Below are 22,858 nucleotides of genomic sequence, written 5' to 3'. Positions count from 1 at the left end.
TGGATCCATCAAAAAATATATTTCACAATAAAAACTGAACAAGTTATTAGTACAGTTTAGACTATCACTTCAACCACTGCCTACCAAGGGATAGAAGCAGAAGAGTTCCCAGTTAAGGTAGGTTTAAGTTAGAAGTGAGATAAATGACCAGAACGATACACTAAAGTGGGACAAGTTTGTTTTAGAATATACCAAGAAATGTCATTTATTTTCAAAGCCCATATATGTATTATCATTTAGTTCACAGTTCCATTCAAGACCTTACCATAAATGTATGTAAACCCACAAAACCTATATTCAAAAAATTTCTAGGGTATACCAAGAATCCGAAGATCTAAGTATCTGAGAAAAAAAGACTATTGGATTTGGGAAATGTACCTAAGTCATAGATTATTATAAAATCAACCAAGTCAACCTTTCTTAATCAGGTTTCTGTGAGAGAATTAAGCCCTAAAGATGATGCACAATTAGTGAAATTGTAAACACATAGAAGAGAAGCTGGAATTAGGAGTTGTCTGTATTATTTGCTAAGTATTGAGAACAAATTTGAATGGCTTCTGAAAACAGAAAGCTAAAACTTATGAGAGAGTATAAAGAAAAATTTTCTCATCCCAAATTGTAGATTGTCATAGAATATTGTGCTTTTAAGTACTTGGTCTAATTTTCTGAAAGATGATGTGTTTTTTGAGATTCTGGACAAGCAAAGTCTTATGTAACAGAAATGTGCCCTTTCTTAGATAATCAAAGCTGTATTCCATCTCTTTAGCCAAAAAGGGAGATTAGAACCTTGGGGAGATTATTTTAGTTTACTGAAGATGCTATTGCTATTTCCCAGAAATGTCTCCTATAATAACGATTACAAGTTGTCTATTGCATAACCGTTTTTGCTGTAGTGATTTCAGAGTCAACTAGCTTTACCACCTGATATTCTAGTCTGAGGACTTAGCAGGGTAACACATTTCTTGGAAATACTGAGTTTCTCTCTTGAATGTAGGCAAGACTGTAATATCCCAAATGAGATGAATGTTAATGCACTTTCTATCTCAAAAACAAATTAATGGGAATTCAGATCATCTATTACACAGGAGATTGGATATTCACTGGCACATTTTTCACATAAACGGCAGCCTGCTTTTCCACAGTAAAGAACAGTGCCCTCGTCTGATTATATGGTGGCATTGTATAAGAACACCACCAGAGGCAAGTCTGTGACAATGCCTTATAGGTATCCCTCAAATTAGTGGATTAACAAGTAGTTGTTTTTAATGAATGAATTTAGCAATTCCCTAGGAGCTTGATAGGTGATAATATTTTCCCTTGATAAATGCTTAGGAAATGTATAAACTTTCAAAATTGATTTAACTTGTTTCAGCATCCTATAGCCGCAAGAAGTAGGATAAAAGAACCAAAGCCATCTTATTTCACAGCCTCTTAACAAATGTTTAGAATATGTAATCCTACAAATAGGGATTCCAATAATATTTTGTACACATACTAAATAATTGCAAGTCTGTTTTCCAGTAGTTTGACATGGATCTAGCTTCTCAATTTGAGCTAAGGGTGCCATACAGGCAAGCAGTGAGCAGTCCTTGGATATACCAGTGAAAAGCAAAACTTGTATTACAAGTCAGAAAAGACAGAATTAGTGAGTGAGTACTCTAAGAGTATCTTAGTCATTCTTCAAAAATGGCATTAGAAGTAAGATGCAGAGGACCTGCCTCCTAAAGTGTCAACAGATGCAAGAGAGCCTTGAGTGGCTGCCAATATGAAATTGTTTGTGACCATCTGCTTTCCATGTCACGGAGACTTCTGACGTTCTGCTTTAGGAAAAGAAAGAGAACCCTGAAATGTTTTCTTAAAAGTCCAAAGAGGGTAATTAACTGTTTTCAACCAATTTATAGGGCCATTCGGAACATGTAAAATGACCAGTCCTTCCTATACAGGATTAAGCTTGCTCGGGTAAAATGGTGAGATTGAAGCTAAGTGATTTGTACAGATTAAGCACATGACAACAACCAGAAGCCTGCTTAACAACAACCAGAGATCCTGCCTGTTGGTCTTGCCTTCTAAGTAAAACCCACTTATTCTTGGAAGTGGGGTACAGACATAAGTTCTGGGACTGAGTTTTTAGGCTTTGGCTAAAGCCCCATTTTTAGTTAGTTTTAGTTAAGTTCTTTGTGTCAGTGACCAAGAAACCACATTACTGAATAAAGTGCATTGAGAAATTAGAGATTAATAATAAATGCTTGCACCCCATCTGTTGATTCAGCTAATCTGCCCTGAGACTTACACAGAGCTGACACATTTAAATCAGCTTCAAATGTTTCCATTTACTTGTTTGGAGATTCCTAACAGATGCAACACAGCCATAGAGAGCAGAATGCTAACCACTAGCAGAGGTGGAGTACTGTTTTCACTGGGACAAATCATTTTTTATCATTTCAACCTACCCTGAAAGTTGTGAGGAAAAAAAAATGTGTTAAAATGATTGTCAAACATTGAGGAAGTATGGAAAATACTATTCGTACTACGATTTTAAAGCCAGGAAACGTATGGACAACTGCCCCTCTGCTTTCTAAACACCTATAGTGTTAAGTCCCACAAATCACAAAACAATTGATAGCTTGGGAAAAAAATAATACCTGACTCTATTTTCAACTCTTTGTTTTCTATTTGGCCCTTTGAACAAATGATGACAAGATGTTTACAATTTCACCCTAAAGACAAATCTGTCAGCCGAGAAGTCTATGAGTTTTCCTGAAATCCTTGGGTTTCACCAGCTCAGGATTTTTTCAAAGACTGTAGGGGTTACGGTGTTCAAGACTGTGATGCATAGAAGTTGCAGAAAGTCTCGGGTTTGTTCTTTTGTCAGTGCAAGAACAACGGAGGCATACTTGCTTCACCTGATAAAATGTAATACCAGTTTTCCTAGGGAAATTTACTTTTAAAAAGAGATCTGGTAAATTCTTTGGAAAGGGATCTTTTGTGATTTAAATAACTAACTTCTATTTCTAACTTCTGTTTTGAAATTCAGAAGTTGATTTTCTAATACGTATATTTATCTCTTAAAGTGAACACACTTGCACATTTCATTGGTAAGCTTTCCGTTTGTACTGTATGTTCAGTGATCTTTCTGCTATGTTTAACTTTTCATTTTAGAAATACTTTTATATATAAAGCCTCTTGTATCTTTCTATTGTTGCAAGACTTTTTTTGAAGCGCACACTGCTTATCGATAGGTTCCAAACACCCCTGTGAAATAAGCAATAGGGAGATTATTGCTAGCTTCATGTTAGATACAAAGCTGCATAAGAGAGCAATGATCTGACTGGCCTGAGGAGCAGCAGAAGCCAGGACAAGAACGTAGTTCTTCCGAACCCCGTCCTGTAACCTACAAAGTCTCGCTATTCAAAATGTGTACCAAGTGTCAACAGCATCAGCATCACCTAGAAGCAAGTTAGAGATACACAATCCAAGCTCCAACCTGGAATTAGTGAATCAGAGTTTGCACAGTCACGCGATCCCAGATGTTTCCTGTGCACAGCAATCTCTGAAGAGCCCTGCTCTAGATTAGTATCACACTATGCTTCATTTAGTGGACATGCTTTCTTGCAGCTCTGGTTACCAATAATATTCCTCACTTGAGGACTTCACTGCTGAAATTTCTAGAACTGCAACCCCCACTTTCTTAAACACTCTGAATTCCCACTTAAACCCTACCCCAAGCAGCCACCCTCTTCCCCCTCTGACAAGTTACCTTTTCAGTGTCTTCCGTTAGAATCCGTTATGAAGCCCCTCGTGTAAACAACATCTTGGGAGGGACGAGGATCTATTTTTGAAAGTGTGAAAGGGAGAAATAAGCCAAATGCGTTCAGCAGATGTCAGGCAGCACCATGACCACGATCAAATGAGGGGAGGAGAAGGATGGGGAGGGAAGCTGTGGACAAGGATAGCTGACCTCTCTTTCACTCATCACTAGCTTTCTTTTAAGCCCAGCCCTCCCTCTGGAAATGGCACTTCAGGTAAATAATGCAAAACCAGGCCATTCACTATCCACTTCACCTAGGAAAGGATGTCTCTGAGAAAATGTTTCTTGGCTACTTCATCTCAAATAACAGTCAAAAGTTCAGGACTTGGTTGATCACTGCTACCCACGAAGCACGAAGCAAAGCACTGCAAGATTAGTGAGTCTGAATAATTCTGGTGCTTGTGTGTGCTTTCACTCTTACAAGTTGCCTAAGAAAAATAGTTCTGAGTTAAGCAATGGGTGTGTGTGCCAAAAACAAGCTTCCTTTAACTGGCCACGGATGTAAAGAAGGCACCTGCCAGGACAACAGTGTCCGTGATAGGGAATGCTTTGTCCCTCTGGTGACTCAGTTGCCTGCCTAATGTCATCACCTCTAACATGCTCAAGGGAATGAGTGAGGTCATGACAAGCTATAATTAGAGCAGACTATATGTCCCAGTTTGCTAGGGACAATCCTGGCTTATACCTGTTGTCCTAGTATAATTATTAATAATGCTCCCCTTTCACTCTAAAAAATGTCCCAGTTTGAACAATAAATTACACATCCATGACTCTGGATGTAAAAGACACCCAGAAAAAAGTATGTTGGCTATTTTCCAACCCAAAATTCTGACCATATGCAAATAACTGCTTTTATGCCTTGGTTTTCTCCTTTCTTTTTTCAGGGGATAACTGTGGAAGTCAGCAAAATATCCTTTCTGGCAAAACTGTCGCTCACTGTCTCTGGCTTGTATGACCAAGCCACGTCTATCAGTCCAATGGGATGAGGTCCCCACAGAGTGTGGACTTCAGCTGCAGGCATGCCTCACTGATCTGAGATATCTCTTGCATAAAAAGGGGATTTTAGATAGTTTTCCAATCTTATACTTTTTTTACTACTTTCAATACAATGCAAGGTTTAATTTGAATGAAAATATAGTCGTGTGGCTTAACATGTTGGATGAAAACAGGGAACACAAGCATTAGTTCTAATTCTCCTTGCTGAAGACTTAAATTTGGGCAAGTGTTTAGTCTCTTCTTTGGAAGCACAGCAAGACAGAGCTATCACACAACAGTGTTCCAAGAATTAACCAAGAGAAATGCCTTTTAATGAGTGTCACATGTGAGATAACTAACTTGACATAATAGTACCAACAAGAACAGTGAGTTAATTTTTCATAACACAAAAGTCTATCATTTCCTTTGCTTTGGATCACTTGTTTTTCTTTTTTATTTCCTTAACAATATTTCCTATCAAGCTTCAAAGTGTGAAATCATAACATAGTTTGGTTCTAAACATAGCAGAAAATTCTCCAAATAACAGAATAGCTTTTTGCTACTTTTAGAAATCAACCAAAATATAAACACTTCAGTCAACATTGGATCAAAAAACATTATTATTGATTAAATTATTGTTTTAACATCACTTTTCTGCTTATATCTGAAGATTAATTTATTCTTCATACAGAATATGAACAGATTTTATGATTTTCTAAATTAATTTTTACAAATCCAATTTCTAAGAGAGAAATGATATAAAAGCATACCAAGAAATGAGTAAAATGTACTAGGTCATATGACTTTAAGTGAAAAGAGCAGAATACAAAATAATATATACACTAAAGCTACATCTATATAAAACATTGAACTCTAATCACAAAAATGAATATACTAGTTATGTCAAGATGGTGAATTATGGATGTTTTTAAAAATGTATCCAGTATTTCTACATAATTCTTTCCATTAAAATAGAATATTTCCAAAAAAGGCACGCATAAATTGCCACGTTAATAATTTCAGTTAGATGTCCATATACTAAACACATATGATGCAGACACTGAGGCTCAAATGGCTGAGGTCCAAGTAATATAACCCTATATTAATTCAGGAATGATTTCATCCCCATTCATGCAGTGTGTGCTGTGTGACGCCTCTCACTGGTAAGGACCACGTGGCAGCCATCTGGATTGTTTATGGCTGGTATGAAAAGTTCCTATGGAGGACCCAGACAGAAAAAGGGGCAATACTTCCTGGTTGTGACCAAATTCAAACCAGAGATCTTGAAGCATCAGGCTTTGAACCACACCCATTTTCCAAGCCATTTAGCGTGTTCATGAACACACCAAATTTCTCTTATACCAATGTTTATAAGAGAAATAAAGCAGCCTTTCATTTATTTAAAATATTAGAGAATATGTGATTTTACAGTGGTCTTCAAAAAATGTATTTGTAGTAAATCTTATAGGAGAGGAGTTTAAATTTAAAATAGGGCACACAGATATAACTAATGTTTCAAGATCAGTAAGGCACACCACATCTGAGTGCAATAGGGCCCAGAATAAGACTTTCCTAGATGTAGGGTCTCTATGTGCTAAGACAAAAAGAATTCAGGCTAATTTTATAACAGGGGATTAAAACAAATTTCCAAGTGCATTTACCATGTTTCTCTAAAGGAACTGATTTGGAACAGAAAGAAACTTTTAGATGAGGCTTTTTGCTTTGATTAAAGCTAAGAACCTTTGAAAAACACTTGCATTTCAAAAATGTAGCATTTCATGTCAGAAATTCAACTTCATCTGAGACATAATCTCCTATATTTCATTTAAAACCTCTCCTTAAACCAATAATTAACCTTGACAATAAAAAGGTAAACAAAAGCATAATAAATGAATTTTTGAATAGTTCTTCCTCCACTGAAATCAGCCAGGGAGAACACGTAGGCTTGGCCTGGTTTCTCAGAGTACTCAGGTATATTTTCAAAGAAAGTCACTCTAGACTAATCCAATGGGTTAGGAATTTGTGTCTCAGCTTCCCTTCTGGCAGCCTATATTTTCTGAACAGCATAATAATGGGAGGTTAAAAGCCTCTTTATGAGATTGAAATAGTACTCTGATATTTGTTTCTTTAAAAATGTTCAACTTTTTAATATAAAAGTTTAGTGTAAATTATACATTCCTTTTTTATTTAAAAGAAACACACACAGACACACACACACACGCACACACACAAATACACACAAACTGATCCCCAGAGAAAACTTCAGACAAGTAGACAAGAATTAGCAATAGATTAGGAAGGCATTTGGCATTATAAGAAATTCACACCTACTAACAAAGAACCTTGGCCATGAAAGTGATCAGAATGAACTTGGCTTTTCTTTCCTCCTCTCTCTGTCATAGTCCCTCTCGTCTCTCTCCTTCCTTCCTTCTTTCCTTTCTTTCTTCCTTCCTTCCTTCTTCCTTTTTTTAATTCAAAGCCAGTTTTACTGCAAAGTTTGCCTTTGGCCCTATACTTGGAGTTTTACAAGTTACGTCCCTACATTTGCATAATACAACGAATTTAGCTTAAATTTGGAAACAGGGTAAAGTTTTGTTCCAGAATTGTTGCAAGAGGAACACTGGGCACAGCTTAATGATCTTTTCTTTTAGATTCTTCCTCATCTTTGAAACCTTTGCAAGAGTTCCTGAGTCCAAGAGGAGATTGGTGAGATAGCCTGCCCCTCTCACTTCTGCCCCAAACCCTGCTGCTGGGGCAGCTTATAATCTCCTGGGAAAATGTGGGGATGTCAGCAAGTTGAATGTCTCTGAAGAGATTAACCCAGTAAGAAATGTCGGTGAGCTGCACAAGCAGCTTGAAACATGACCGACCGCTGAGAAACATGTGGAAGTGGAGCAAGGGAGAGTGGGCCAGTCATTCACCTGTACGGAGACGCTGTCCCCCAGGAGAGATAATCGGTGGGTCTCGGAGCAGGACGAGGTACGATGGGCTGCTCCACAGCAGTCACGTCTCCTGAGTAGGATTTGAGGAGGGAAGCGTTTTTATTGGCTAGCATGGCTCTCTCATTCCTGCGGAACTTGGCTCTTCGGTTCTGAAACCACACCTGGAGGATTGTTAGGAGGCAAGAAGGCATAAGGAAAGAGAGGAAAAACAAAGAAGAAGGGGTTACATGAATGAAATTCTGCTTGATTTTACTATATAATGCCTTCCCAAAGAAGATATAAGATGGCTATGGAATTCTCCGTAGAACAATAGAAACATGCCATCCGCCTTCCCTCAATGAGGGCCATTCTTAAAGGTCAAGACTATTACAACAAGACCATGAAATTCTCCAGTAATCAGGTCTCCAGATATGGGATCTGTGACTTACCCACGGGACAGCAAAATATGGGTTATAATCCCTGTTACAATTGTAATCAAGAAAAGTGAAGAAAAATCTCATTAGGCTTCTGCCACAGAAATAATGACTTTTCTAAAAGCTTTTTCAAAATTCTTCAAAATGTGAAAATTTCATCTGCTTTCATAATAATTATATTTTAAGAAAATTCCCCATCTCCCAAAAGTAGATGTTCCAACAAAGATTTAAGAAGGAAATGTTTTATTTGGGAGGTGCAAAGACCACCATTTGGGGAGCAAGGAAGTAACAGAGATGAAAAGGCAACCACTAAAGGGTGTACTACTAAACCAGCTATCTCTGTGGTAGCTCAATCCTGCAGAGAACCTGAAGACTAAGACTAACGTAGAACACACACTTCAGAGTTATCCCTCTTGGAGGTGATAGAGCTGGGTGTGTGTACACTGGATCCTGTCAGTCATTGTCTATTAATGTTCCAGCACTTCTAGAATGCTGAAGGCAGGGCACTCTCCTGAAGTTCTAGGAAGAAACTGCTGGCACAGAAATGCAGGCACTGAAAGTTGGAAGCTGACCAGACTACACCTAATTGTAGGGTTCAAGGGAAATGGACAGCACTGACAGCATTTGCTACAACTAATAATAAACCTATAATTTAATTTTATTTATTTTTATTTTATTTTATAAGTTCTGGGATACGTGTGCAGGATGTGCAGGTTTGCTACATAAGTCAAACTGTCTCTGTTTGCAGATGACCTGATCCTGTATCTAGAAAACCCTATCGTCTCACCCCAAAAACTTCTTAAGCTGATAAGCAACTTCAGCAAAGTCTCAGGGTGCAAAATCAGTATGCAAAAATCACAAGTATTCCTATACACCTACAACAGAAAAGCAAAGAGCCAAATCATGAATGAACTCCCATTCACAATTGCTACAAAGAGAATAAAAAACCTGGGAATACAGCTAAGAAGAGAAGTAAAGCACCTCTTCAAGGAGAACTAAAAACCATTGCTCAAGGAAATCAGAGAGGACACAAACAAATGGAAAAACATTCTATGCTCATGGATAGGAAGAATCAATATCACAAAAATGGCTATACATCCAAAGTAATTTATAGATCTAATGCTATTCCCATCAAATTACCATTCACATTGTTCACAGAATTAGAAAAATCTACTTTAAAATTTATATAGAACGAAAAAGAGCCCGTATGGCCAAGACAATCCTCAACAAAAAGAGCAAAGCTGAAGGTATCACACTATCTGACTTCAAACTATTCTACAAGGCTACAGTAACCAAAACAGCGTGGTATTAGTACAAAAGCACACACACAGACCAATGGAACAGAATAGAGAACTCAGAAAAGACTGTACATTTACAACCATCTGATATTCATCAAGCCTGACAAAAACAAGCTATGGGGAAAGGATTCCCTATTTAATAAATGGTGCTTGGAGAACTGGCTAGCCATATGCGGAAAACTGAAACTGGACCTCTTTGTTACACCATATACAAAAATTAACTCAAGATAAATTAAAAACTTAAGTATAAAACCCCAAACTATAAAAGCTCTAGAAGAAAATACAGGCAATATCATTCAGGACATAGGCATGGGCAAAGATTTCATGATGAAAACGTCAAAAACAATTTCAACAAAAGCAAAAATTGACAAATGGGATCTAATTAAAGAGCTTCTGCACAGAAAAATAAACTATCATCAGAGTGAACAGGCAACCCACAGAATGGGAGAAGATTTTTGTAATCTATCCATCTGACAAAGGTCTAATATCCAGAATCTACAAGGAGCTTAAACAAATTTATAAGAAAAAAACAAACAATCCCATGAAAAAGTGGGCAAACGATATTGTTTTTTAAGTGTTACCAGGGCTAGGAACTTATATAAGCACACTACATACATTATTTCTAGTCAACATGACAATTCCACGTATTAGGTTTTATTATTTCTATTTTACAGTTGAGGAAGCAATTTCAATGAGATTAAATACAGTCATGCACCACATATGATGGACCTCATATACGACAGTGGTCTCATTAAATTATAATACCAAATTTTTGCTATTTGATATGATTAGATACGCAAATACTTACCATGGTATTACAATCGCCTACACTATTCAGTAGAGTAATATGCTGTACAGGCTTGTGACCTAAGAGCAATAAGCTATACCCTATAGCCTAGGTGTGCAGTCAGTTATACCATCTAGATTTGTGTAAGTAGACTCCATGATGTTTGCACAATGACAAAATTACCTAAAAATGCAGTTCTCAGAACAGATCCCCATTGTTAAGCATTGTATGACTGTAATCTGTTGAAATTCACATAAATAATAAATGGCTGAGTTTCTGAAGTCAAGGACATCCAATTCATGATCATACAACTCTTCTAGAGTGCTATGGAATTCTACTCATTCATTTACTCATTCAAGAAATCTTTATGGAGCACCTGCTATGGTCCAGGCCCAGTACTAAATGCTGGAAAGAGAGAGATGAGAAACTTATTCTCTGCTTTTAAGCAGATCAAAACCTATTAAATGAAGACATGTAAATTTGAAAAACTACAAAACAAGTATTTTAAGTGCAATTATAGAAATGTATAACAAGGTATGGGAGAAGAAAATTCTTTTTGTGGAGTGAGCAGTTGTACAGCTCGAGGGGCCAACATACACATAAATTACCACGTGATCAGTGCCCTGTAGAGCTGTGCAGCATGAAGGGCCTGGGTGGAAATTGGCCAAGGTGGAATCTGGACTTGGCTTCCCACACTCCTGGCTCTTCTGTTTCTAATGTGCCTTCACATTGCTCTTAGAGCTATCATCTTAAATGTTAATACAATCACCTTATTGCCTCGTTTTATATCATCTACTGGCTCCCCGTTACTCACAGAATAAAATAAAAACTTCTTAACCATAGAACTAAGGCTGTTCAGGAATTAGCTCTTTGTCCATCAATCCAGCCACAAACCACATCACTCTAACCTCATACACTGGCCCTCTAGAGCTCCAGCTCCTACCCTGTGCTCAAAATTACCTGTGGACTCCTAAATGTGTTAGGCCCTTTCCTACCTAAAAATATTCACACCGGATATTTCCTTTGCCTATTATATTCTTCCCCGCTTTGTCCGGGTATCAAAGCCCATATATTTTTTTCAAAGTTCAACTTTAACATTGAACATGACTTAAAAGTCATACTGGCTACACTACTTTCAAGATTTGTCCTGTGAGTTGTTTAATTTCTCTGCTCCTTTGTCTCCTAATCAGTTGGAGATAACAATATCTACTTACAGGATAGTTTTGAGAATTGGCCCAGAATTAGTGCCTAATAAACATAAATTCTCTCCCTTTTCCCCCAGGCAGATTGGATCATTCCTTCCTCTGGTCTATCACTAATTATTGTACATTCCACTGATGTAGGAATCATATTATGATATCATAAGTGTATGGTTTGTACATCTATCTTCTCCACCCCAGTCCAAACATCCTTAAGGAGAGGGTCAGTATCTTATTCATCCCCAGCAAAACAAAACCGGGTTCAAGAGTATAATATGTGCTTGATAAGTGTATGAGGAAAAAAAGAGGAAAAGAAGAAAAAAATAAATGTTGCAAAGATGAATAAAACATGGCCTCCATCCAAGAGGCCTCCTCAGTCCTGTGGGGGAAGTTGGCCCAGATACAACTCAATATAATACATTTCATGTTATGATAAATGCCATAAATGCAAAGAAGCCCAGAATCAGAAGGGATTGGTTCAGACTGGGAAAAGGTAGGCTTTCATGGGGGAAGAATGAAGTCATGAAGGGAGAACTCTGCCCTACTCACTTAGGAAATGTTCACTACTCTAAAAGTCATTAAATCATAGCAAGGTGGGAAAAGAGAAATAAAAAATAGTTCCAACATATAAAAAAGGTATTTCCCTGTCATGATAGGGGCAAGACAGTCCCCCAACCCCAAAATTGGTCTTTCATTTTTTTTTTTTTGAAATGTCCACCATTGCCCTCTGCAGTTTTCCTTATTTAAAATTTAGATCACCATAGCAAAAGTGGCACATTAGTGTGCTGTGGGTTACTGGACTAAAAGTATTCATTACACCACCGCAAGCTGAGGCGTGGCATAAAAGACATGGGGTTTTTGAGGAGAGAGGAAAGGATTTAACAGCAGAGTTAGAGATTTGCGGTAAGCAGTGTTGAGGAAGAGGGTGTGGGAAGACAAATTGCATAATCTGCACTGGATGGCGAATGGGAGAGCAAAACTGAGTATTGTCTCTATGGGTCACTCTCACTTGAGCCCAAAGGGGCACCTGCACTCACACTTCCTCCTGATCTACCCTCAGGGGCCCCACAGGCTCCCACGACTTTCTTCTTTTGTCACTGACATTTTTCTTTTTTCTCTTGGGGAGTACTTCTTGGTGAGGTCCCTGTTTCCCCGTGGGAAAGCGTTCACACTTTCTCTTCAGGCTGAAGGGAGCACTAGGATCTCTGCATCAACTCCACAGTGGTCTCCCACTGTGTACTGTGCCTCCTCCATAGACACAGGCCCTAATCGATGGGCTAGGAATCTACCCTGAGGTCTAGCTCAAGTTCTGGCTGTTCAAGAGGGTTATCATTTGCAGAAAGAAATTATTAACACTCAGACTGAACATAGATATACAAACAATAATTTTGTAAGGAAGACAAGACAGATTGGACCTACCCACCTTATCAAAACAGCATCTTGCTACTGGCAATATGGAAGACAAGATCTTTCAGCAGAGACACAACAAAGCACTACTTGAAAAGGCATTTAGCCAAGAGACTCTTATTCATTCAGTTTTTTTGGGAGGCGGGGTGGGGAGTGGTAATTAAAAGCATGAACTCTGGATCTGCCTATCTGCATTCAAATCCTATTTCAGACACTTCCTAGCTATGTGATGTTGTGCAAAATACTTTGACCTCTCTGTGTCTCAGTTTTCTCATCTGCAAAATGAAGAACACTATCCACATCACTGAATTGGTGTGAGGATGAAATAAATTACTTATGTAAAGAACACTACTTGGCATATAAGGGCTCCAGTAGTGTTAGTATTACGTATTGTTATGAGTTAATCGCAGGTTGTATCATGTTCTAGATGTCTGGCTTGCAGTTGGTGTGTCATGGCACTAATGTTAGAAAGAATGGCTATTCTCTTTTTCCTGCCTTTCATGCTCTTACCTTCTTTCAGTTCACAGAGACACTGAAGGAAAATAAAATCATCCACTTAAGTGTGCTCTTAACTCAGTTCATAAGTATTCATTTCCCACTCCATCAGTGCTCATACTCATGTGTACTTACAACAAGTTTCTTGAAGACTGGGGAGGAGAGCTGAGGTAGGGGACAGAGAATTCATCTCTTTAACCACTTCGAGATCAGATTGAAATCTAAGGGTGCAGAGTAAAATACTCAGATGGACAATGTATATCACATAAATCTGGAAGTGTCAGAAAGAAAGGGGTGCTGGGAGAGGAACCTGTAGCAAGGATTATTCTGCCCTACCTGAAGGCATTCAATTTTATTTAAAAAAATACTTGCTGCCCAAAGAAACACAGCTGGAAACAGGATTCTATCCTCATGCTGACCATATGTAACCCTTATAAGTACCAGCTCCCATCTGAAGCCTATAACTTGGGTATTATTTATTTGTTTGTTTGTTTATTTATTTTTGAGTCAGGGTCTCACTCTGTCACCCAGGCTGGGGTGCACTGGCGTGATCTCAGCTCACTGCAACCTCCACCCCCCAGGCTCAAGCAATTCTCCCACCTCAGCCTTCCAAGAAGCTGGGACCACAGGCACGCAGCATCATGCCTGGCTGTTTATTTATTTATTTTGTATTTTTGGTAGAGATGAGGTCTCACTATGTTGCCCAGGCTGGTTTCGAACTCCTGAGCTCAAGCAATGTGCCTGCCTCAACCTCCCAACGTGCTGAGATTGCAGGCATGAGCCACTGTGCTGGGCTATAATTTGTGTTTTTAAACAGTTTTCAGAGATGTGCCTCTGAGGAGGGTACTACTTGGTGCCAGCCTCTCACAGCTTGAGTTACCTGCACTCTCGCCTCGGTGAGGTTCACCCGGCGGGCAAGGTCTTCTCGCACAAAAGCATCAGGATAGTGTGTCCGCTCAAAGACACGCTCCAAAGCCTGCAGCTGGCTGCTATTGAAGGTTGTCCTATTCCTTCGCTGCTTTCTCTTCTTTTTTTCTTCTGAGTTCAGCTGGTCATCTGGAATAGAACACAATGATGAAAAGAAGCCAAATTCACTGTAGGAGTCCCAGTTAAGACTTTTTTATGGTATATCTATAGTGAGATCTTGCTTCATTTGCTCACATCTTTATCAAAGTCCTATAGCCAAATGCCACTTTGCATGTGCAAATGTGGCCATTAGCGCTCTCAAGTTCATATGTCAAGAATCCCAGCAACTCTAATGCTTGGCTGTTGCCTCTAAATCTGGGACAAGATCTGAACTGTCAGAGAGACATTACTTGCATGATCCTTGATGCCTGTTTGTCAAGGAAAATCTTACCCCTGCCCATGTTCTTTGGACTTCTCTAGAGATAAAGGAAGAAGAGTAAATGGTTTTGTACCTTATTTGTCTTTGACAATATTATGCTCACTCATATAGTTTAATAATCAAGTAGACCAATTATCTCCTGGTTCCTTCTCTCCTAACATATATACATGAACAAATACATAGAGTTATAGAGAGGAAACTATGTTCAAACCACATTACAGGGATTTGTTTTACCATGAACTCTCCTTGAAGCAGCAAGTAATTTCTAACACCATTCACTCAAGGCTCCATGCTGTTGCAAAGGCAGGCTTCAGAGGCCTCAGCCTAGATCAGGACTAGTGCTACAATGCCATCAACCCAAGCTAACATTAGCCTGGGGCTCACTCCCTGAGAACCCAAGAACAGGAAACAGTTCAGAAAGATCCCTGAAAATGTTTCACTCAAACTTGAGTTCTAGGACCCTGAGATCTTAGGGACCTTTGAAGAATCACAACTCCATTTTTACCTGTCAAGATCCTTCCTTGGTTTTCTCTGAGTTCCCCTGAAGGTAGCGTGGTGAGATAATTGTCCAGGTTGTCCATAGCAGTCAGAGTGTAGTATGCTCCTCTCCTGCTGCCCCCACCCAGCCCAGTCAGGAGTGATGTATATGTGAAACTGAATGGAATACCAGCTGTGCTGACACCTCAATCAAACTATCACCCTAAGGCCTGAGCTCTGCAGAGCCTGTGTAGGTCCCAGAGATTTGCAACACCATGCTGCCAAAACCCAAGTCACATGCTCCATCTAATGAACTTGACTTACATTCCCCATAGCTTTTCCCCAAAGAGGCTCAGCCCAAAGAAAATTATGAAGTGTTGGAGTGAGGATGGGGAGAACAAGGAGAGCTTGGCCATTCACTATTTAGAAAGTACTTTTGGCTCTCTCTTCTAATATGCAAATTCTCCTGATTCTCTCTGATTATAAACACACAATGTACTCAGCAAAACTATTAGCACAAGTCATGATGACACCTACCTCAGCTATAATATTGTTTTTATTACAAATTGAGGGAATGATCTAGATTTGTGTACAGAGTCAAAATGTAGCTTAAATCCAGAGGCCTGACAACTGAGGCCTCTAAGTCTTTTGCTAAGAGAATCCTTCTTCATCAATGCTTCCTTACCAGGAATACCCTTGAAGCTTAGAATAGAGACTGCACATTTCTTCTTGATAATTAAAGCACCCAGATATAGTAAATGCTTGCTGAGTTTGTTTTCAGGGAAAACGTGAAACTCCTCTTGTCCTTAGAAGACTGTTTCTGTAGAAAAAAATGTCAGATGATCTCAACCAGATTCCTCCAGCCAAGAAGCTACCATACCTTTCTCTCTGCTTCATGGTTTTGTACAGTCCACCTTCTCTTTGGTATTTTACACTTGTGGTGCCTTACCTCAGGGCCCAGCTTTGGTGGCACTTCTGTGACACTCAGTAAGAATGTAAGATCAGCTGCATCTTGGAAATGGAGCAAATTTAATAATAATTTTTGAGATCTACCAATGCCTAAAATATTCCAACCAACATCACTGATTATACCACTAGCTATTAGCAAAATTAGTTTGCAATAAGATCAGCACTAGAATTCAAACACCTAGGATTAAATACCTTTCAGTAGTTACATTGCACTTGCATTCTCCTTCCTATTTAATATTTGGAAGCATTCCTCCCATTCCTATTCATTTTTCCAAATCATTTTGTCTCGTACTTCAGGTCTTTCTAAGTAATACAAGCCCTTGTGATAGCACAATTATCTGAATTTCATGCCCCCAAAACAGAAGTCTGCAAAAAAAAAAAAGAAAAATCCTTAGCTTCTGTACTTTGTTTTAACTGAGACCAATTAGACACTAAGCCATTATTTTTAATCATATAGAGAAAATCCCCTATTAAGCCAATCCCATGACTTGTTTTCTTCTCTCAAAGAAAATTCTTTCTTAGGTGCAACCACAAATTATAAATCTTTTATGTTGTTTCAAAAGCCTATTTCTTCTTGTACTGCCAACTGCAATCAAGACCAAGAATATTTTATGTTTTGTTCTTAGTATTACAACCTGCTACATAATCTCAGTAGTTCTTTGAAATATTCCACTGTTCAATCAAATTCCACTGACTGTCTACCATAAACCACCAACTCCCCTGATGTGGGAGTAAGGGAAATGGAGAATTATAGTTTATGACAGGGAATAAATAGCTATGATGACCTGAAGCAATTCCAGCAAAAGTTTCCCAGTGAATGTTCTTGTTGTTTTTAACAAATGAAAACACTAGTTCAGATCATGTTGAAGGTGAGAAAAGACACAAATAACAGGGATCCAGGGAGTCTGGCTCTGGCAAATGTCCTTCAGAGTGCAAGTATAATAGAAAGAGACGATGAGCGGGCAACAGAGACAGCTCGAGCAGCAGTCCTGGGGATGGTCTGTCTTTGCTCACTAATCACAAAATGTGAGCTCCCTGTTTTTCCCCAAGAATGCAGAACAGGACCCAGCACAGTATCTTCAGCAGTACAAAAGGAAACATAAACACTGTAGAGGTTTACAAATGCAGGGTATCTGAAGGACCTGTGATAAACACATTTATCAGATTCTTGGCTCTGGTTGAATACAGGGGAGAGAAAGCAGTGTATTTTTACTAATTCCAAGAGGGTCATCTTTTCTTGCAAAAACAACTACAGTGAAAGTTGATTTTGAAACATGCTGTCTGAAGATACTGACATCCAACTGGATATTAGAATGCATCTCATTCTTTGGCATTCTAAAATGGGAAGGATTCACCAAGTTGTAGAATAACCAGCGGAAACATGAATACATTTTTTTTTTTTTTTTTGAGATGGAGTCTCGCTCTGTCGCCCAGGCTGGAGTGCAGTGGCGCGATCTTGGCTCACCGCAACCTCCGCCTCCTGGGTTCACACCATTCTCCTGCCTCAGCCTCCCGAGTAGCTGGGACTACAGGCACCTGCCACCACGCCCAGCTAATTTTTTGTATTTTTAGTAGAAACGAGGTTTCACCGTGTTAGCCGGGATGGTCTCGATCTCCTGACCTCGTGATCCACCTGCCTCGGCCTCCCAAAGTGCTGGGATTACAGGCGTGAGCCACTGCTCCTGGCCTACATGGATACATTTTTTATCAAAGTTGCAATGTTTCAAATCCAAAGTGTTTATGGATTTTATAATTTTTTTGATGATTGAGTAAACTGAAAATATGTAGTTATTGTTGCTCTTAGTAAAAACAAGCAAAACAGCCTTATAAATAGGTGTAGTCTTGCTGGGATCATGAGTCATAAAATATTGGCATCTAATGAAACCCATGAAATTGTCGAATTCAACCATCTTATTTTACAGATGAGTTAAATTAGATCTAGAAGAACAACGTGACTTGCCCAAAATCACAATGCGGACTTGGGACCTCCAGCCAGAGCAAGAAACCAGGATTCCCAATTCCATTCCACTCTTAAGTGCAGATGACAACATACACGCTGTGCAAGAGAGAAACAACAAAGCATCCAACACATAAATGGAAACCATTCCCCAGGGAAAATATTTATAGGAAAGACAGATTTTTCCATACTAGCTGTTATAAAGAGGGTCTGAGAAAGAGGGTCGATGAATATCACATGTTGTCCTTTCTACCAGAATAGCCATTAAAAAATGCAACCATTCTCATCTAGAAAGCCATTTTGATCCAGATGTTCTTGCATTCTTCTTTACAATGATATCCATAAGTCCTTGCTTCATCAATTAAATAAGTGCAGGGTTATTTTAGCTTAGTAGTATGCCCCATCTTCTATCTTCTCCCACAATCATAGGAGATGATTTTCACTTTAGGACACAGTTTAAAATCTCTCTGTTCCTAAAACACATCTCAAATCTTACCTTCTCTATAAACCTTTTCTGATAGCACCAATTCATATTGATTTCTCAGGCTCTAAATTTATATACATATATTAGTATATTATCAAATACTTTTTAAAAATTATGGTTCAATATTTTCTCTGTAAATATTTTGTCACCTTAATGTATTCAGGTATTTCTATAGAAAAGAGATAGGATTCCTTGACATATTACATTACAGTAAAAGTTGAAAGAGTTATAGTAATGTCATGGTATAGAAGCAGTCCCACAATATTAGAATTTTAGTGATTTATTTAAAGTTTTAAAGGACTGAGTAATTTCTGAATTCTTTTTAACAATACATAGCAAGTAATTATGTTAGCATTGTCTTTTGTCTCTGGATAGTTTTACCCACAGAGGAAAAATTCTTTTGCAGTGTTTCTTTATCAGATAGGATAGTCACCAGATTTAGAGAGGGAAAAAGCCTTGTGGTCTGATTCCTCTGCAAATGTAGGAATTATTCTTTCATTTTTATCTTTTACTAGAAAAGCGGCTGCAGGATACATGAATTACTTAAACCACCAAGAAAATACACAAGAAAGAGGTACTAAAAGAGATGGGTGTTTCTAATGGATCACAATGTTAGAATACATATGAAGAACTTCTTGAGAAAAGAAGACTGTAAGCCCAAGGTAGGCTACCCTCTGTGCATTCAAATATGAGTTAAAGAGAACAATAGCCCTGACCTCGGCTCTAGTATGAAGTTCACTCTGGACTCCTCATGTGGCTGCTGAAGTTGCCCTAGAGGGAAGGTGGAGAAGAAGGCATAAAGTGCCATCCTCAAGCATGGGGACCTGACAGCATGTGGTGATCCCTATTCACTAAGGCCTTGCTCTTGCCATGCAAGCTTCAGCTAACTCCAACACCCCTCACCCTCTTCTGCTCTGCATCCTGTGGGAGGAACCTTAGAGATTCCAAATCATTGGTCAGCCAAACGTAATTTAAAGGTACGGAAAAACATATTTTAGGAATAAAATCTGAAGAAAAATGCGTTTCCTATGCCTGGGTCACATCAGTTTGGGAAAAAATCTGATGCAAGAAGATAAAATGCCAGCTCCAGTAGCAGAAACCAACTACCACATCAAAGTTTGTCATCTGCCTTTTGGTTGAAAGCATGGCAGGCAAGCGGATCTAAAGTGCAGCCCGCTGATCATTTTATGGGCATTGAACAATGTTTTCAAAGGAACTTATATTGCACAACAGCTACTTACTTTAATGGGATTTGTGTGGTTCAGGCCCCGTAACCTTTGGAAAATTGAAAGGAAGTGTAATTGCAAAAGCCACTAAAAACCGTTTAGCTTTTATTGCAAGGCCCATGAAAAGCAGTGAAATAGAGCTGTGGCATTCATTTGAGTTTCTTTGGCTACACTTAGCATTAACTGAAATTAGGACAGCATCTTTCTAATATGTGTCCTGATAAATGGCACATGGGTCACTTAACTGGGAAGATTGTTGCAATATAGACTGAGCTTAGTGCATCACAATGACCAAAGCCAAGTTTAGCAGCACACACACATCGTCTCAACAGCATAGCCCTTCAGCGGTCCTCCATCATTGACTCCCAGCACGTATCAAGAGCGAACAAATCTCTGCCAATACAAATACCCAACTGTGCAGCTATTGCGCATTATCACAGCACAGCTACCTGAACTATAGCCCACTAAAGCCCCTAAACTTTGTATGGTCGTCTTTACTGTCATCTTGGTATAGACTTGGTTCATTTTTAGTCAAGTATCAGACTAAGCCTTAGCAAATAGAATTAAAACATCTTATATGTGATTTGGGAAATGACATATGTTCTCTGGAGAACAAAATGCTCTAAGAAGTGTGAAATTACATTATTTTGCATGGTTTTGATCAAAGAGATGAGTCAGTGGCTCTGTGTAAAGCAACAGTGGTTCTGTGTAGATAGCTCAAAATTTAACTTTCTCAATATAGCCAACCCTCCTTTCAAGTAGAAAACACTCAAGAATGTGAGGTACTCTAAGGTGATTTGCACTGTTTTTAGCTTCTTTGTTATATATTTCTTTTCACCTCTATAGAACAAATACTTTTCTATAGCGCCAAAAATGTTAACACAATCCATATCACCTTAAGCGCTTTAACTCTCTTAAGACATTTTCCTTAAAGGATTATTGATCAGAACCCCTGAGAATATCCAACACAAAGCAAGGTTTTCCATGTAGTCCCATATTGGAACTGTACTTACTTCTGAGGCTATGTTGATAAATCTCCCCACCCCACCGCATTATGTGGGCATTTTCCGTGTGATGATGAATCTGTTTTAGGCTATAACTCCAGAGCACAACATTTGTGTTTGTATTTAATTGAAGCTCTTATCAATGTTCAGTAAGTGAATAATCAGACATGAAATACTACTACTAATAATAATACTAATGTATTCCTGAATCCATAATTTACTAATACGAATAACAATAATGTATTCATGAATATGTTAGAATTCTTACTGTAAGAGATGCATTATTGAACAGAGTACCCTCTCTTTGATAAAGACATGAAATTCTGGCTTCAGATATGTAAGCTACCTCCAATTTTTCTATGGATGAATTACCAGTTTACTCATTTTTTCAATTCATTGCAGGATGCCAAAAAAGGGGAAAATAAGAATCTTTTTGTCAGACCCAACTAGCTATAATTGGGATGGAAGCATAGTTGGAAGTGGAGTGGAGTAGAAAGTAAACCAGCTTAGAAATAAGAACAACCTTTGTTCTCATACAGATCCTGCCACTGACTAGCTGTGTGGCCTTGGATAAGATGTTTCACTTGTCTGAGCCTCAGTTTCCAAAATGATAAAATGGGAGTAGGATCACCTGCATCCTGGGGTCATTTGAAAATTTAATAAATGCATAAAAGGCACATAGGCTGACACATAGTAGGCATTTGACAAGAGGTGGATTTTACTTCTACCAGTGCTACCATAATGTGTTCTCAAAAATGGGCTGGTCAAGCCATTGCTGCTGTACCTTTACTCTTCTGCTCACTCTTTGTTGTTATTTAGCTGTTCAGTAAGATTTCTATCACAAAATAACTGGAGAGAAAGTGAGAAAGCCATTCAAATACGTTTATATGGCTCGGTCATGTTTGATGGAGAGCATAACAGAACTAGGAAACTGGAAAAATGAATAAAAGCTTTAAAATTCAGCAAGAACTGAGATATAGGGTAGACTCAAAATTGCACAAGGATATATATCATGCACAGGTGTTTGCCCCAAAAGTTCCATTTGGGGCATTTTTTTGCTATTATTCAATTCTTGGCTTTCTAAAAAGCCAACTTGCCTTCTTAAATTCAAATTTTGGAAAAAAAATCTAGAAAGCAAATAGATTCTAGTACTCAGACGGATAAGCAATTGGTACCTTTAACAAGTAGTCTCACTAGAAATTAGCTTCAGAAAAAAAGACAGGAAAGAAAAGAAAGCCAAGAGCTAAAGACAGGTTATGAAAATTCAATTATTTCCCAGCCTATTTGCTTTTGGTTAACTAATTTGGTTGCCATATGCCTAAAAACACAACAGTTGAGTCATATTACTCACTATTTATTCAGTGACTCTTTTAAAAAGAAATGTCTGATTATTTTGGTAAATTCCAAAAGGATAAGAAGAAACCAAAGTTCTGGGAAAAGAGTGAGTTCTGACTGAGATATTAGAAGCTTTCTAAACTTGCAATAATCCAGATGTGTGGTCCCCTTGGAAGTGCCTGGTATTTGACTAGGAATTTGACTAGGATTACAAACAGAGCTGAGGATGAGGCATATCCTCTTGTCTTCTTCTGCTGAGGTTTTTTTCCCTTTGCACTGAGACTGCTGTCACTTCATAAAAGAGACAACATCAATCTTGCCATTACCAGTAGAAACTAGTGTTTTCATGAGAGGCAAGCATCATATGTCACCTTTTTCAATGATTCCTTATCTTTTTGGTTATAATTTTTAATGTTCTAAAGAAAAATCTGGTAAGCACAGGTTCTAAAAAACCAAGACTGGAAGCAGACAGGAATGAAGGAGATGTACATAGTTAATGAGTAAGCTCAGCTCTTAGAAGGACAGGAGTGATGGAGCAGAGCTTCTCTGCTTAGATAGAAAGACAGCTACAAGGCATTTGAACTTATGAGAACAAAAGTATGACTTGAATTTTCTTATAATTTTTTATCTTGTGTTAAAAGGACAAGGTGCTTATAGCAGAGAAAGCCACAATAACAGAGAATTAGCTTTCCATCACAGTAAGAGATAGAACCAAAGGTAATTCTGTAACACTATAT

The 22,858-nt window shown here is 38.4% G+C and overlaps 1 protein-coding gene across 3 annotated transcripts in view; it reads right to left on the bottom strand.

The window, feature by feature from the left end:
* Positions 1–22,858, bottom strand: part of PRRX1 (paired related homeobox 1) — a 76,654-nt gene that overhangs the window by 5,316 nt on the left and 48,480 nt on the right. For 2 of the 3 annotated variants that reach the window (XM_006711388.4, NM_022716.4), the window contains 2 exons: positions 14,205–14,380; positions 7,705–7,886 (listed from right to left, as the gene is read on the bottom strand). In XM_006711388.4, coding sequence (XP_006711451.1) covers positions 7,705–7,886; positions 14,205–14,380 — 358 coding nt within the window. Of the gene's footprint in view, positions 1–3,757; positions 3,830–7,704; positions 7,887–14,204; positions 14,381–22,858 lie in introns of all 3 variants that reach the window. The other variant, NM_006902.5, reaches the window with a different exon arrangement.

This window comes from Homo sapiens, chromosome 1, assembly GCF_000001405.40.
Source record: "Homo sapiens chromosome 1, GRCh38.p14 Primary Assembly".
Lineage (NCBI taxonomy): Eukaryota > Metazoa > Chordata > Mammalia > Primates > Hominidae > Homo > Homo sapiens.
This window is presented reverse-complemented; position numbering and strand designations above follow the sequence as displayed.